Genomic DNA, 16,845 nt, shown 5'->3' with positions numbered 1-16,845 from the left:
AGACCATGCATCTGCCTCCAACTGTGTCCTCTCTTCTGGGATGATCACAGCATCTGCCCTCCACCTGCTCTCCAGGACTGATGTGGCTGGCTCAGCTACTAGGCGGGTGTCCCTGTCCTTCCAAGAGCTCGTTCCTCAGTGAAAGGTGGAGGAGAGAGGACAAAATTAGTGGCTTACAGAATAAGGGGATTGTGGCATGGACCTTTCTTCAGTCAAGGGTTGCTGTGTTTGTTGCCAGTAGGTGCAGCCCAGCACTCCTGTCTGTTGTGGGACAGATAGGACTATTACTGAGCAGTGCCTCCCAAATTCAGGGCCACTTAGGCATTCGTGGGGATCTCTGAGGCTGTGATACATTTTGTGTTTATGGGTGTTTGTTTGTTTGTTTGTTTGTTTTGAGACAGAGTTTCGCGCTGCTGCCCATGCTGGAGTGCAGTGGTGCGATCTCAGCTCACTGCAACCTCTGTCTCCCAAGTTCAAGCGTTCTCCTGCCTCAGCCTCCTGAGTGGCTGAGATTACAGGCGCACACCACCATGTCCAACTAATTTTTTGTATTTTTAGTAGAGACGGGGTTTCACTATGTTGGCCAGGCTGGTGTTGAACTCCTGGAGTGAAGTGATCCTCCCGTCTCGGCCTCCCAAAGTGCTGGGATTACATGCGTGAGCCACCACGCCTGGCCCTATGTGTTTTTTGAGACAGGGTCTCACTCTGTTACCCAGGCTGGAGTGCAGTGGCGTGATCTTGGCTCACTGCAGCCTCAACCTCCCGAGCTGAAGCAATCCTCCTCACCTCAGCCCTGCAAGTAGCTGGGAATACAGGTGCACACCACCATGTCTAGCTAACTTTTGACTTTTTTGTAGAGACAGGGTCTCACTATGTTGCCTAGGCTGGTCTTGAACTCTTGGGCTCAAGTGATCCTCCTGCTTCAGCCTTGCAAAGTGCTGGGATTACAGGCATGAGTCACTGTGCCCGGCCTTATGATAATTTGTTTTTTAATTTGTGTTTTAAATTTTATGATCTAAAAAGTTTTAAGAATATTCTGGATTGTCTGGAAGATCAGCTTATCACAGAGACTGCTCCTCAAGAGCATGTTTGGGAGTGTCGGCACCCAGAGTCTATCTGAAGAGAGAATGTGACTCCTAGGAGAATCTGCGGGTGTGCAAGGGGCCCATGGGGGTGTCTGTGCATTGCTCCGTTTGAGAAATTCCAGAGTGTAAAGGTCCATTGTGTTCAGGACACAGACCGGTGGTTGTGTCTGAGTCTGATTTTGCACTCTAGCTTTTGTCAGAGCTGTCTTCTTAGAGCCTTCATCTGTCACATACAATACTGAGTCTTCAGCGTGGCACCACAGGCAGAGGCTGCTGTCTGTGCCCACACTCCTCGTGGGCCCACCTCCCTCATTCTCTGTCTTGTTCTCACACATGCAAAGCCCGGCCCCAGCACAGCCCTGGCACTTGCTATTCTTTCTGCCCAGGACACCATCCCTGCAGACCAGCAGGTGGCCGCTGCTCTCACTGTTCGCTCTTGGTTTCACCGAGGCGTCACCAGCCACCCTGGCTGAAATTGCCCCTTGGCCTCCAGCTCTCAGTATTCTGCTCTCTGAAATGAGGGTGACAGTTACACCTACTGCATGAGGTTGTTGTGAAAATTAAATGAGATACATTAATTTATCTCATTAATTAAATGAGAAAATTAAATGAGGTTAATGAATGTGTGGAAAGCACATAGAGTGGTGCCTGGCATTCAGAAAATGTTAGTCCTCATCATTTCATGGTATTACATATTTATTCACAGAAATGGTCTGGGAGGGGACACAGCATTCATTTTTCATTCTATGTACTTCTTTGTTTGACCTTTTTCTATGTGTATGTATTACTTTTGTTATTTTTAAAGCCAGTACCGGCCAGGTGTGGTGGCTCACACCTGTAATCCCAGCACTTTGAGAGGCCAAGGCGGGTGGATCACTTGAGGTCAGGAGTTCAAGACCAGCCTGACCAACATGGTAAAACCCCGTCCCTACTAAAAATACAAAAATTAGCTGGGTGTGGTGGCACACATCTGTAGTCCCAGCTACTCGGGAGGCTGAGGCAGGACAATCGCTTGAACCTGGGAGGTGAAGGTTGCAGTGAGCCGAGTTCATGCCACTGTACTCCAGCCTGGGTGACAGAGTGAGACTCTGTCTAAATAAATAAATAAATAAATAAATAAATAAATAAAGCCAACATATTTCCTGTCTATTTGGATTTCTGATCATGTAACCCACTATTGGAAAAATTTGATTTCAGTCCCTCTTGACATTGACATTTTTCAGTCATTTTCCCATTTAGTGGTAACAGCTTGTGTATGGCTTTTTTTTTTTTGAGACAGAGTCTCGCTCTGTCGCCCAGGCTGGAGTGCAGTGGCGCAATCTCAGCTCACTGCAAGCTCCGCCTCCTGGGTTCACGCCATTCTCCTGCCTCAGCCTCCCTAGTAGCTGGGACTACAGGTGCCCACCACCACGTCTGGCTAATGTTTTGTATTTTTAGTAGAGACGGGTTTCACCATGCTGGCCAGGCTGGTCTTGAACTCCTAACCTCATGATCCGCCCGCATCGGCCTCCCAAAGTGCTGGGATTACAGGCGTGAGCCACCACAGCTTGTGTATGGCTTTAACCCCACTGTAGAGCAGTACCTCCTGTCACACATACTCCATTGTTCTTTTGCAGTTTCAAGGTTTGTCTTATGGCTAGATATTTTTTCCAACTTGGAAAAAAATTTTTTTAGTTAGAAAAAAGCGGGGTCTCACTATGTTGGCCAAGTTGGTCTTGAACGTCTGGCTTCAAGCAGTCTTCCCACCTTGGCCTCCCAAAGAGCTGGGAAGACAGGCGTGAACTACCTCATCCAGACTTTTCCATCTTTTAACATGAAATTCTAAAAATATACAGAGGGGTCAGGCACGGTGGCTCATGCCTATCATCCCAGCACTTTGGGAGGCTGAGGCAGGAGGATCACTAAAGTTTGGAAAACTTTTTCTTTTGAAATAACTTCAAACTTTCAAAAAAGTTGAAAGAATAGTGTAGTAGAACAACTCCTGTATACCCGTACCCAGATTTACCAGGTTTAAAATTTTGGAACCTTTGCCCTGTCACTGTGTGTGTCTCTGTGTCCAGCTTGTGTGTGTGTGTGTGTGTGTGTGTGTGTGTGTGTGTGTGTGTGTGTGTGTGTCCGTGTCCAGCTTGGGCAACATAGCAAAACCGATCTCTCTCTCTCTCTTTTTTTTTTTTTTTTTTTGAGACGGAGTTTTTGCTCTGTTGCCCAGGCTGGAGTGCAGTGGCTCAATCTTAGCTTGCTGCAACCTCTGCCTCCTGGGTTCAAGCGATTCTCCTGCCTCAGCCTCCCAAGTAGCTGGGATTACAGGCGCCTGCCATCATGCCTGGCTAATTTTTGTGTTTTTAGTAGAGACAGGGTTTTACCATGTTGCCCAGGCTGGTCTTGAACTCCTGACCTCAGATGATCTGCCCGCCTCAGCCTCCCAAAGTGCTAGGATTACAGGCATGAGCCACTGCTCCCGGCTAGCAAAACCCATCTCTACCAAAAAAAAAAAAACTGGGCCATGATGCTGCACACCTGTAGTCCCATCTGCTCAGGAGGCTGAGGCAGAAGGATCACTTGAGTATGTACAGTGAGCTATGATTGTACCCCCTACTCCAGTGTGGTCGACAGAGTGAGACCCTGTCTCTAAAAAAAATATGTATACATACACAGAGAAATTGGAATAATTGAATACTAAATATCCATACACCCACAACCTAGGTAGAATAGTTAATATTTTTCCATATCCACTTAAAGACATCACTCACTTCTGCCCTGGGCACTAGCACCAGTGTTTCTTCCATGGACGGGTCTCTGCCCTGTGCTGTGCTACCATCACTCCTGGGAAGATCACAAGCCTCACATATATCACATGTCTAGTCCAAGTCAGATTACTCTATGACTTCAAACATGTATTTTATGGGTTTTTAATTTTTATCTGGTCAGGGTTTCATGTGTCGCATTTGACTGTTATATCTCTTTAGAATCCTTTATCTATTTCAGTCTTCCCACTTCCCCCCTGACCTTGATTTTTTTTTTTTTTTGAAATGGCGTCTCGCTCTGTCGCCCAGGCTGCAGTGCAGTGGCGCAATCTTGGCTCACTGCAACCTCGGCCTCCTGGTTTCAAGCGATTCTCCTGCTTCAGCCTCCCGAGTACCTGGGACTACAGGTGTGTGCCACCACGCCTGGCTAATTTTTTGTATTTTTAGTAGAGATGGGGTTTTACCGTGTTAGCCAGGCTGATCTCGATCTCCTGACCTCCTGATCTGCCTGTCTTGGCCTCCCAAAGTGCTGGGATTACAGGCGTGAGCCACCACACCTGGCCTGACCTTGATACTTCTTAGGAGTGAGCAGATCTCCTTTCTGGAGACTAGAGCAGTCTCAGCCAAGACAGTGGCCAGCAGGCTCGGAGAAGTCAGAGAGCAGGGAGAACCCACAGAGCCACTTTCAAGCCAACGTCCTCAAGAGGGAGCCAAGAAGTTCACAGGGTCAGGAGTAGGATCCCAAATCAAAGATAGAGTCCACTTACTTCCTCTTTTCTGTGTCAAAACCACTTTGAACTTCCCAGCCACGTGGAGCTACTGTTCTCATTGAGAGGGAAGCATTCTAGAAGCGCAACCCTTTCCATAACCACCAAAGTCTAGTTCTCTTTAGAAGGTACCAGAACCTCTTAGCCACATAGGCCTTGAATTCTGTAGTCTGGAAACCCCTTCATATCTCCACCATCACTTGGGACCTTATCCTGGGAGGCCGGTCACTTCAGAGACAGTCAGTCCCACAGTTGCGTGTTCTTACTGTCACTGTCCTTGGCCACTAGCTGAACTGGAAGCCCCTTGTCAACTGTCCTTTTGTGGCCACATCCTGTGTGGCTCTAGATTTCCTGCCCTGTGTCGCTTCCGTCTGCTGCTGCCCTCCACACAGCCCTCTCCAAAGTGCCCCACCTCCTCAGCACCTACCCAGAGCCTGCCCTGCACCCCCAGGTCTTGGCCCACTCTTCCCAAGGACACAGTGCCCTGGCGGCTCTCAAGCAGAGGTGTGGAGCCTTCTTCCACACAGGTTGCCAAGCCCTGGACCGGCACCTGCACCCTCCCTTTGATTGTAAAAGGAACATGTTGATGGAAGAGCTCCAGGAAATATAGACATTAAAGAAGAAGAGTGAAATCCCTAGCAACCCAGAAATAATCTTAACATGTGGCTGCTTTTTCCCATCTTTGTTCTATATGTATATATTTAGATTTTTTAAAATCTATATCATATTATTTATACGTTTTGGATTTTTTTCTCTTGACATATTGTGAGTTCTACATGTGTCACCAAATAGTCTTAGAAAATATGATTCTTGGCTGAGTGTGGTGGCTCACGCCTGTAATTCCAACACTTGGGGAGGCCAACACGGGAGGATCTCTTGAACCTAGGAGTTTAATACCACCCTGGGCAACATAGTGAGAGCCTTTCTCTACAAAAAAATGTAAAAAGTCAGTAAGGTGTCTGTTTGTATGAAAAAAAGAAAAACAATAATTAAGCCGGGCATTGGCCACCACCCCATCTGGGAAGTGAGTAAGTAGCACCTCTGTCTGGCCGCCGCACCGTCTGGGAATTGAGGAACACCTTTGCCTAGCTGCCGTGCAGCCCTGCAAGTGTGAAGTGGCAGCTTTGCGTGTGATCTTTCTCCCCTCCCCAAGTTTGCATTTTTGACATTAAAGTTTACTTTTAAATTAAAATTTTTGAATTGGAAATAATAATAATAATAATAATAATAATAATAATAATAATAATTAGGCCAGGTGTGGTGGCTCACACCTGTAATCCCAGGACTTTAGGAGGCTGAGGCGGGCAGATCACTTGAGGTCAGGAGTTTGAGACCAGCCTGGCCAACATGGTGAAACCGCATCTCTACTAAAAATACAAAAATTAGCTGAGCATAGTGGTGCATGCCCGTAGTCCCAGCTACTCAGGAGGCTGAGGCAGGAGAATTGCTTTAACCTGGGAGGCAAAGGTTGCAGTGAGCTGAGGTTGTGCCTCGGCACTCCAGCCTGGGCGACAGAGCAAGACTCCATCTCAAAAAGTATAAATAAAATAATAATTAGCTGGACATGGTGGAGCACACCTGTCCTCCCTGCTACTGGGAAGGCTGAGGTGGGAGGATCACTTGAGCCTGGGAGATCGAGGTCAGTGCTGCAGTGATGATTGTGCCACTGCACTCCAGCCTGGGTAACAGAGTGAGACCCTATCTCAAAAATAATTAATTTATTATACTTTTTTTTTTTTTGAGACAGAGTCTTGCTCTGTCGCCCAGGCTAGAGTGCAGTAGCGCCATCTTGGCTCACTGCAAGCTCAACCTCCCAGGTTCACGCCATTCTCCTGCCTCAGCCTCCTGAGTAGCTGGGACTATAGGCGCCTGCCACCACGCCCGGCTAATGTTTTTGTATTTTTTAGTAGAGACAGGGTTTCACCCTGTTAGCCAGAATGGTCTTGATCTCCTGACCTCGTGATCCACCTGCCTCGGCCTCCCAAAGTGCTGGGATTACAGGCAAGAGCCACTGTGCCCGGCCAATTTATTATACTTTTAATATACCATTACTTATTTAAATGTCCCTTTCAGGTAGACATCTAGTGTGTTTCTATTTATTTTGCTGTTGCAACATTTTTGTGCCTAAATCAGCTTTTTAACATTTTTTGGATAGATTTCTCAGGGATGGGATTTTGGGTGAAATATGTGGGGATATTTAGAATTTCTGATGCATATTACCAAATTGCTTTCAAAGAAGTGTTGTGACAGTTTACAGTCCTGCCTGCTGTGCATGATGTGTCACAGCCCATCCCATTGTGCCCTCCTTGCCTCAAGAGATGGTGTCTTCATCTCTCCCACCTCTCTCCCGGCCCAGTGCCTGGCCCATACCAGGTGCTCATAAGTGTTTGGGGGTAGCAAAGCCCCCGCTTACCACAGGCTCAACATCACTGATGGGAGCTCAACATCCACTGGGGGGTCCGTAAGGATCAGCCTGTCCAGCTGGGCATCGTGCACAAGTTAAACCTTTTGGTTTTTTGAGATGGAGTTTCGCCCTTGTTGCCCAGGCTGGAGTGCAATGGTGCGATCTTGGCTCACTGCAACCTCTGTCTCCTGGGTTCAAGCAGTTCTCCTGCCTCAATCTCCCGAGTAGCTGGGATTACAGGTGCCTGCCACCACGCCCAGCTAATTTTTTGTATTTTTAGTAGAGATGGGGTTTCACCATGTTGGCCAGGCTGGTCTTGAACTCCTGACCTCAGGTGATCTGCCCACCTCGGCCTCCCAAAGTGTTGGGATTACAGGCGTGAGCCACCGTGCTTGGCCAAGTTTAGCCATTTATACCACTGATGAGTCTCTCCCTGCCTCCCCCCAGCATTTGGAGCAGGAACACAAGGACAATAGCCCCTCACCTGCACCCAAGCAACTCTGCTTTACCTGTTACATATATGGGGATTCTGCCGAAGATTACTGTTTGGAAAATTTGTGCTGCCTGGCCCATGAGAGTTCTTGTGCTCTCCCTGCCTCCCCAGTGGCATCCCTTCCTCAAGCTCTGGCTCGCATCCATTGTTTGCCTTTCCTGAGCATTTGTTACCCTCCACAGTGCCAGGCTTAGGACCTAATGCTCTTGTGGCTGGACAGGCTGCCTTCTCTTCTTTCCTGGCTAAGTTTTCCTCAAATGTTAACTCTGAGACCCATGACACTTTCTCTGGGAACTCCACCCCACTGTAACTGTTGCTCACCTGCCTCCAAACTAGACAGGAAGTCCTTCAAGTGCAGGAACAGGGCTTTTTCCTCCCTGGCACAGCACCTGGTGCACACTAGGGACTCAGTAAATGAGTGGATGGACAATGCTTATTGGCAGAATCATCACTGCTCAGTGTGCCTTTTCCTACCCAGTCTGAGTTTCTGAGAATGCTCTTAGAGAATGAATCTGTGGTTGATTTTACACCTACAGGGCTTAGGGTTTCCTCAGCAAATAACCTCCTTTCTCCCTCTCTTCTTGGCACATCAGCTCACCCGACGACTGCCACCCATCAAAGAAGCTAAGCCTCGGTTACAGAAGCTCTTCCGAGACTTCTGGCTGTATTCCGTTCTGATGGGATTCGCTGTGGAGGGCTCAGGTAGGGGGATCATCTCTCTCCCAGTGAAGACGGAGTGCAGAGTGAAGGTAAAGGTGAGGTCAGAGCCCACGTAATTATGAATGTGAGCATGTTTAAATGAGTCCACATGCAGCTGCTTCTTTCTGCAAGTATTAGCAAGTGTTACTGTCCCCAGATGTAGTTTAGGGTGCTGAGAATGCCATACACCTTAGGAAAAGTCTGTCCAAGTCAGGTAACAGACTTCGTTTCTGTGCCTAGTTTTTGGGATAATTGTCTCAAAGGACCCATGACTATAGAAATTGTCAGTCAACCTCACTGCAGTGCTTTCCGACCAAGGTGATTTCCTCATTTATGTTCACTTTATTGCAGGACTCTGGCCAGAAGAATGGTACGAGGGGGTCTGTGAAATAGCCACTAAGTCCCCCTTGCTCACCTTTCCCAGCAAGGAGCCACTGCGGTCCGTCCTCCAGTATAACTCAGCCATGAAGAATGACACGGTCACCCCCGTAAGGATTCACATCTCATTTTTACCATGCTCTCTGTGCCAATTAGGGCAGATCTTTTCACTGTCATTATTAACACATGTTGCCAGCCACTGGGACCTGTTTGTCCTGGGGGATGCCCCATGAGCCCTCGGATGTTTCTCTCCCTCCAGGCTGAGCTGAGTGAGCTCCGCAGCACTATCATCAACCTGCTGGACCCCCCTCCCGAGGTGTCCGCACTCATCAACAAGCTGGACTTCGCCATGTCCACCTACCTCCTCTCTGTGTACCGGCTGGAGTACATGAGGTACACGTGCCTTCACCACCATGCACATGCACATCCACATTTGAGCAGGGTTTTCATTTTTGTGCCCTCGTAAGCATGAGACTTTTTTCAACTTCTCCCAAGACATGCAAACTTTCTGAAAAACCAAGCAAAAACACCCTCTACTTTTCTCGTATGCCCCTCCTTCATGACCACCAGACACCACGTATAGTAACACCTCCCAGTATCTAAGCTCCGCATCATCTTCTCTCTGATAGGAAACAGGCTTCTGAGCAGTTGCAGTCAGTGTTGTGAACTCAGCCCACGGACTGAGCGAGGCCCTTCTGAGGACCCAGCCTCGCTGAGTGCGTGTCTAGGACACTCACTGAGCTGTTTCCCAGGACCATGGTTGAGTACAAACAGCAAATGCGACATGGGGTGGGGCCGGCTCCAAAACAGTCCTGCATGTGGCCCGATGCTCAGGACACATCTGTGGCCACAGCAGTCCTAACAGTGGTAGTGACACTTAGGATCTACAGCTGTTATCATGTTGACCTCAGAAGTAAGCTTGGATTGAGTGTCTGTGCTGTACCAGGTACTGTGCTGCATTACACATGTTTACGCACTCCCCGACATGCTTGTGAGGTAGGCAGTGCTATACAGACCCACTGTGCTGAGGCCTCAGGCGCCCTGGGACAGCAGCTGAGTACATTGGCTACAAAATGATGATTCCTGTTGTCAAGAAAAGGTCAAATTACACTCAGCTTAAGTCGGGAGGGATGCAAATAAGTCGTAGAATAATTTCTTTCCCAAATGATTTGAAAAAGAAAGTGTTCCTGAGAGAAAGGCTATTTGGAAAACACTATTTTAGCCTTTCATTGTTGCCACCAACCCTCTAGTAAAATAGTCCTTGAAAGCTCAATACATAAAAGAAAGGCAGAGTGCTTTGGTTGCATGGGAATGCACCCTACCCTCCTGCTCAGTCTCCTCCTCCCTGCCCTCAGCCCGGGGCTCCACACACAGCCAAATGTGGAAATCAGTGACGCATTCTCCCCAAGTCCCACAGAGCCAAGGGAGTGTTGACTTTGTTCTTTTTTCATTGTAAGTGTCTTTTATTTTGGCTGGATGTGGTGGCTCACACCTGTAACCCCAGCACTTTAGGAGGCCAAGGCGAGTGGATCACCTGAGGCCAGTAGTTCGAGACCAGCCTGGCCAACGTGGTGAAACCCCATCTCTACTAAAAATACAAAAATTAGCCAGATGTGGTGGCGGGTGCCTATAGTCCCAGCTACTCAGGAGGCTGAGGCAGGAGAATGGCATGAACCCAGGAGGTGGAGCTTGTAGTGAGCTGAGATCGCGCCACTGCACTCCAGCCTGGGCGACAGAGCGAGACTCCGTCTCAAAAAAAAAAAAAGAAAAAAAGAACATTGCACAAAAATGGCTAGGCACGGCCGGTTGCAGTGGCTCACTCCTGTCATCCCAACACTTTGGGAGGCCGAGGCAGGCAGATCCTGAGGTCAGGAGTTCGAGACCAGTCTGACCAACATGGTGAAACCCCGTCTCTACTAAAAATATAAAAATTAGCTGGATGTGGTGGTGCATGCCTGTAGTCCCAGCTACTGAGGAGGCTGAGGCAGGAGAATTGCTTGACCCAGGAGGTGGAGGTTGCAGTGAGCCAAGATGGTGCCACTGCACTGCAGCCTGGGCGACAGAGTGAGACTCTGTCTCAAAAAAACAAATGGCTAATCCCAGCATTTTGAGGGGTGGGAGGATCACTTGAGCCCGGAAGTTTTGAGCTTCTGCAACAGAGCAAGAACTTGTCTCTAACCCCCCCCCCCCCCAAAAAAAAAAGCAAAAAAACCTAGCCAGTTGTGGTGGCACATGCCTGTAGTCCCAGCTACTCAGGAGACTGAGGCAAGGGGGTTGCTTAAGCCTAGGAGGTTGAGGCTGCAGTGAGCTATGATCAAACCACTGCACTCTAGCCTGGGCAAAAGACCCTGTCTTATAAAAACAAAACATTTATACAAAATCTTGCAAAATAAGTAGAGAGAGAAAAAACACTGACCTCACTGTCATCCCCTATAGCCTGTTAGTATAGCTGTTTGTAGTCTTTTTTCTAAACAATGTATTTTCAAAGAAAAAACAGCCAAAACAAAACAAGCCAGACCCAAACAGAGCAAAAACATGGCTTTCATCCCAGCATGTACGGCTAGAAGAGGTATCTCCAGACCCTCTCAACCTCATGTGGTTTGAAGGCAGAGCTACCTCTGCCTTTCCCATGAGTATGCCCCTGAGTAGTTTTCTCAGGTTCTCAGGACGGGCTCTTAACTGGCAGAGGAAGACTCTAAGACGCAGCCCATAGCAGCTCCTGTGAGCCCACCTTCCACCTCGGGCTGCCTACCAGGCCCTTGAGAGCACTCTGTTAGCATAGAGAGGCAACCTCAAAGCCTTTATTCAGGAACCTGGCTCAGGTTCCCAGCCACTGGGTATTGAGAGAGCTTTAAAACCACAAAGTGGAGAATTTGGGAAATCAAGTTAAAGGTGTGTGCACGTGCACACTCGAATGCGTGTGCTGAAAGTCACCTGGCCTGCCCTCCTGAGGCTTAACTCTTGACAGGTTGGTGCAGAGGCCAAAAGACATGGCCTGCCGAGCCGCTGCTGCCTTAGTGGAGCCCCTGGAACTCTGAACAGCCCTTCACAGCACCCATGGGACAAGTGCATGCGCTTTTTCCTTTTTCTCCCTTTCCCCCTGAGGTTAAAGATATTTTTTTTACCATAAAAGAAAAATGTACAGAGTGCATAAAACAAAAAAGAGAAGAGAAAACACTGGAATAGTACAGAAGATACTAAAGATGAAAAAATACAGGTATCACTTTTGTAGACGTGAATACTTCATTTCTACTATCCTACTGTTAATGGCCTCTTAATTTTCCTCTAGAAATTTTCTGTGCATAGGCAAGCATGCATAGCCTACACATACACATGCAAAGACAGACCTTTAGGAAACCTGTAAGTGGGGTCATGCTGGACATGTGTTCCCTGCACCTTCCTTTTTTCTGTTAATAGTATGTCTCAGACTTTTTTTGTAACAGCTCACATAGAGAGCTGCCTCTCGTTTGGTGGCTGCATGATGTGTCATCGAATGGGTATGCTTTGGCTTATCTGCCCAGTCTCCTGTTGGTGAGCATTCAGAGTCTTTCCATTTTGGATAATGCAGTCAGTGCTGTTAGGAGAATCCTTGTGCATGTAACCCTGAAGATATATCCTAATGGTGGGGCTGCTGGAGTGAAAAATATGGGAATGTATAATAGATGGTGCACCTCACCCTCCAAAAAGTCCACCTCAGTGTGCACCCTTATGAATGACAGAGGGCAAATGTTCTTCACATCCTTACCACTTATGGGCAGTGTCAAATCTGTGATAGGGAGGGCCCAGATTTTTCAAAATTTATTTAAAGCTGTTTTCTTCTTAGGGTACTGCGTTCAACAGATCCTGATCGCTTCCAGGTAATGTTCTGCTACTTTGAGGATAAAGCTATTCAGAAAGACAAATCTGGTAAGCTCATTATTATGGTGCTTTCATGATGAATTGAGCTTTAATAGGGTAAAAAGGCGTACTACTTCCTCTTTTCTGTCTACATGTAGAAAATGTTTTATGAAGTTAAATATTGCATGAGAAAGATCAGTATAAAACATATAGCCTTCAAATATACGCCTTAATGGTTCTACTGCTGGTGCAAGGGCCCCGAACAGAAGGATGGTCATTCTAGCCCACTATCTATGCTCAAGTGTGCTCCAGCACTCATCTAGAGGGACCAGGGCTCCTCGGATGGGCACTGATGGACCTGCAGCAACTTGCTGTTGCCAGAGAGCAGTCATGGTTTTTAAACGTCAGGAGCAGGAAACAGTAGTTTGTGCCTGTAGTCCCAAGTTACTTGGGAGGCTGAGTGGGAGGATCGCTTGAGCCCAGGAGTTCAAGATTGCAGTGAGCTATGATCATGCCACTTGCTTCCAGATGCAACTTGTCGTCAGACCCTGAGTGCACAGAGGGCCTCAGCTGTTACCAGCCCTAGCCCAGGAGACCAACTCCTGGGAAGACAGAGAAATGGTGGAAACTGTAGGAAGGCATAAAAATGTTACAATGATCAAAACCCTATGAAGACAAAGCTAAGATAAGAATAAAAAGGAGAGATGGAAACTGGGAAGGTTACCAGGAGACCCTCTGGATTGATGGAAGTGTCCTCTAGATTGTTTGGGTAGTGGTCCCGTGAGTGTGTACAGTTGTTAAGTCATGGAATTGAGCACATAAGACCTGTGGATTTTATTATATGCAAATTATACCTTAATTTTTTTAAATTGCAAAAGGCTAATATTAGTTTTACAAAAGTGTATTTAGCCAATAAAAAGATATTAAAATAGAGACAACAAAGGAAAAAGTTAAATGCTGCGTATAAGCACTTTTTGGCCAGTTTTAGTGTAAGGGCACTAAGAAGTCTGATTTATAAGGTGTTTAAAATCAAAAATTTAAAATATGCTGAAATGTTAGACCTAAGTTTTAATTAAATGCTTAGAATAATTTGATAATTTTTGTAATTATGATGAAATCATGTTTAAATATGCAAGGGAATTGGGGAGAATCCACAAATTTTGATTAACTGTATGAATAAATTCTTTGAGGCATGCTTATTGATAAATTCTTGAGATTGACAAATTTAGTATTAATGAAGTACAACTAACAGTGTGTAGTCCTTTCCGCACCAGAAGCCTTTGATAGGTTGGTGAATCTATCAACTTGTTCTTGCTTATGGAGAAATTATTTCCGATACTTCTTGTACCATTTTTTCTTTTGTTGAAAAATCAGGCTGGGCACAGTGGCTCACAGCTGTAATCCCAGCACTTTGGGAAGCTGAGGCAGGTAGATCACCTGAGGTCAGGAGTTTGAGACCAGCCTGGCCAACATGGTGAAACCCCGTCTCTACTAAAAATAAAAAAATTGGCTGGGTGCGGTGACTCACACTTGTAATCCCAGCACTTTGAGAGGCCGAGGCAGGCAGATCACAAGGTCAGGAGATCAAGACCGTCCTGGCTAACACGGTGAAACCCTGTCTCTACTAAAAATACAAAAAATTAGCCGGGCGTGGTGGCCTGCGCCTGTAGTCCCAGCTACTCGGGAGGCTGAGACAGGAGAATGGCATGAACCCGGGAGGTGGAGCTTGCAGTGAGTGGAGTTCACGCAACTGTACTCCAGCCTTGGTGACAGAGTGAGACTCTGTCTCAAAAATAAATAAATAAGCCGAGCGTGGTGGTGCACGCCTGTAGTCCCAGCTGCTGGGGAGGCTGAGGCAGGAGAATTGCTTGAACCTGGGAGACGGAGGTTGAGGTGAGCCGAGATCGTGCCTCAGCACTCCATCCTGGGTGACAGAGAGACTCTGTCTCAAAAAAAAAAAAAAAAAAAAAGAAAAGAAAAGAAAAAGAAAAATCAACGCTTCAAGAAATGTTTTTTAAAAATCACCCCAGGCCAGGTGCAGTGGCTTACGCCTGTAATCCCAATACTTTGGGAGGCCAACCCAAGTGGATTACTTGAGGCCAGGAGTTTAAGACCAGCCTGGGCTACATAGCAATACCCCATCTGTACAAAAAATATAATTAGCTGGGCATGGTGGAACATGCCTGTCGTCCTAGCTAGTCTGGGGGCTGAGGCAGGGGGATCCCTTGAGCCCAGTTCAAGGTTGAAGTGAGCCAGGATCGCACCACTGCACTCCAGCCTAGGTGACGGAGCAAGACCCTGTCTCTTAAAAAACAAACAAACAAAAAAATGCCCCAGGGGCTCTGAGATACTGCTTCAGGTAAGACTCTTCTAGTAAGTCCTTTGTGGAGCACTTCACACTGCTGTACAACAGTCAGGAAGTCAGGTGCATGAATTTATTTTTGCAGCTGGGAGCCAGTGGAGTTGGCAAGGAAAGACTGTGAGGGTTCTGGAAGCTCCCCCTTCTGGCAGTAAGGAGGGGATTGGAGTGAGCAAGGAGCCCATTTGAGGCCAGGGATGGGAGGTGCAGGCAGGCAGTTTCTACAGAGAAGCCTCTTCCAGAGGGGATGTAGACACAGGGCGGGGTGGGGGCCACATTCAGAGAGTCTCACACACATGCCCCAGGACCAGTTGGGGCTATAAGAGAGATGCTGTCAAGCTCTGGCTGAACTGTTCATTGATCTGTTCCCCTCATCCGTCCACCTTGCATTTGTCCATGTAGTAGCAGATTTTGTGCTAAGTTTTGTGCTAGACCAGGGGTGTCCAATTTTTTGGCTTCCTTGAGCCACATTGGAAGAAAAAGAATTGTCTTGGGCCACACATAAAACATACTAACACTAACGATAGCTAATGAGCAAAAAAAAAAAAAAAAAAGAAAAGAAAGAAAAATCACACACAAAAAATCTTATAATATTTTAAGACATTTAAGACACAGAATCTCATGTTTTTTTTTTTTTTTTTTTTTTTTTGAGACAGAGTCTTGCTCTGTTGCCCAAGCTGGAGTGCAGTGGAACGATCTCAGCTGACTGCAAGCTCCGCCTCCCAGGTTCATGCCATTCTCCTGCCTCAGCCTCCCAAGTAGCTGGGACTACAGGCGCCCACCACCACGCCTGGCTAATTTTTTGTATTTTTAGTAGAGACGGGGTTTCACTGTGTTAGCCAGAATGGTCTCGATCTCCTGACCTCGTGATCCGCCCGCCTCGGCCTCCCAAAGTGCAGGGATTACAGGCATGAGCCACTGCGCCCGGCCCAGAATCTCATAATGTTTAAGTTTACAAATTTGTGTTGGGCCACATTGAAAGCCATCCTGGGCTGTGTGTGGACTGCAGATTGGAAAAGCTTGTGCTAGACAATTGGCCCACCCTGCGATTCTTTGGTTCTAGGAGAGAGACTAAGCAACAACAAAATTGAAACTGCCAACCTCTAGAAGAATTAAGCACCTAGCACATTATTCAGACAAGACCTGAGGAGACAAAAAAAGGAAGAAAAAGGCTGGGTGCGGTAGCTCACGCCTGTAATCCCAGCACTCTGGGAGGCTGAAGTGGGTGGATCACTTGATGTCAGGAGTTCGAGACCAGCCTGGCCAACATGATGAAACCCCATCTCTACTAAAAATACAAAAATTAGCCAGGTGCGGTGGCGTGTGCCTGTAGTCCTGGCTACTTGGGAGGCCAAGGCAGGAGAATCACTTGAACCTGGGAGGCAGAGGTTGCAGTGAGCTGAGATCACACCACACACTCCAGCCTGGGAGACAGAGTGAAACTCCATCTCAAAAAAAAAAAGGAAGGAGAACCTAGCAGATTTTGCCAGCCTTCTAGAGAATATTCATAAACCGAATCAGATCCCTTTCTGAAGTGAGATGTCTCATTCGCCCTTCTCTCTGAGCTCTGTTTTTCTGTTCCTGTGACATCAGAGGACGTTAAATTGTTCCGGGGGACTGATTGTTCCTCCTCACCTTAATTCAAAATAAAGCGATTTTCATTTTTGCAGTACATTGTACTCTTCCACATGGTTTCAAACTGATTATTTTTGTTCTGAGCGTGGCACTTAGCCAGTAAATGTACAGCTATTGAGTGTATATCCCTCTTATATTTTTCCTCTAAAACATGAAAGATAAGAAGGAAATGTCTTTGGAGACATATATTATTCTTGAATTTTCAGAACCTACCAGGAGGAGAGGGTATATGAAATATCTAGCAGCCCCACTAAAGTGGGGACTTCTGCCTCCTCTCTGCAGGTATAAGATGAGCCTCTGTTATGTTCTCAGCTGCACAGGAACGTGAGGGCAGGAGCCTGCTGCTCACCTGCCCACCATCCTGTGAGTCAGTTCACCAGTAATCCAGAGCTAAACTAAGGGGTTAAGAGGAGAGTGGCCTTTTTAAAGTAAAAATCTTACTTA

General features: G+C 47.1%; 1 protein-coding gene across 9 annotated transcripts in view; it reads left to right on the top strand.

Moving 5' to 3' along the window:
- PI4KA (phosphatidylinositol 4-kinase alpha) overlaps nt 1-16,845 on the top strand; it is a 151,121-nt gene that overhangs the window by 85,032 nt on the left and 49,244 nt on the right. For 8 of the 9 annotated variants that reach the window (NM_001362863.2, NM_001362862.2, XM_005261635.2 and 5 more), the window contains 4 exons: nt 8,087-8,195; nt 8,544-8,680; nt 8,830-8,963; nt 12,394-12,476. In NM_001362863.2, the coding sequence (NP_001349792.1) occupies nt 8,087-8,195; nt 8,544-8,680; nt 8,830-8,963; nt 12,394-12,476 (463 nt within the window). Of the gene's footprint in view, nt 1-8,086; nt 8,196-8,543; nt 8,681-8,829; nt 8,964-12,393; nt 12,477-16,845 lie in introns of those variants that run through there. The other variant, XM_047441410.1, reaches the window with a different exon arrangement.

Source organism: Homo sapiens, chromosome 22, assembly GCF_000001405.40.
Source record: "Homo sapiens chromosome 22, GRCh38.p14 Primary Assembly".
NCBI classification, from domain to species: domain Eukaryota; kingdom Metazoa; phylum Chordata; class Mammalia; order Primates; family Hominidae; genus Homo; species Homo sapiens.
Note: the sequence above shows the minus strand (reverse complement) of the source record. Positions and strands in the feature narration are given on the sequence as shown.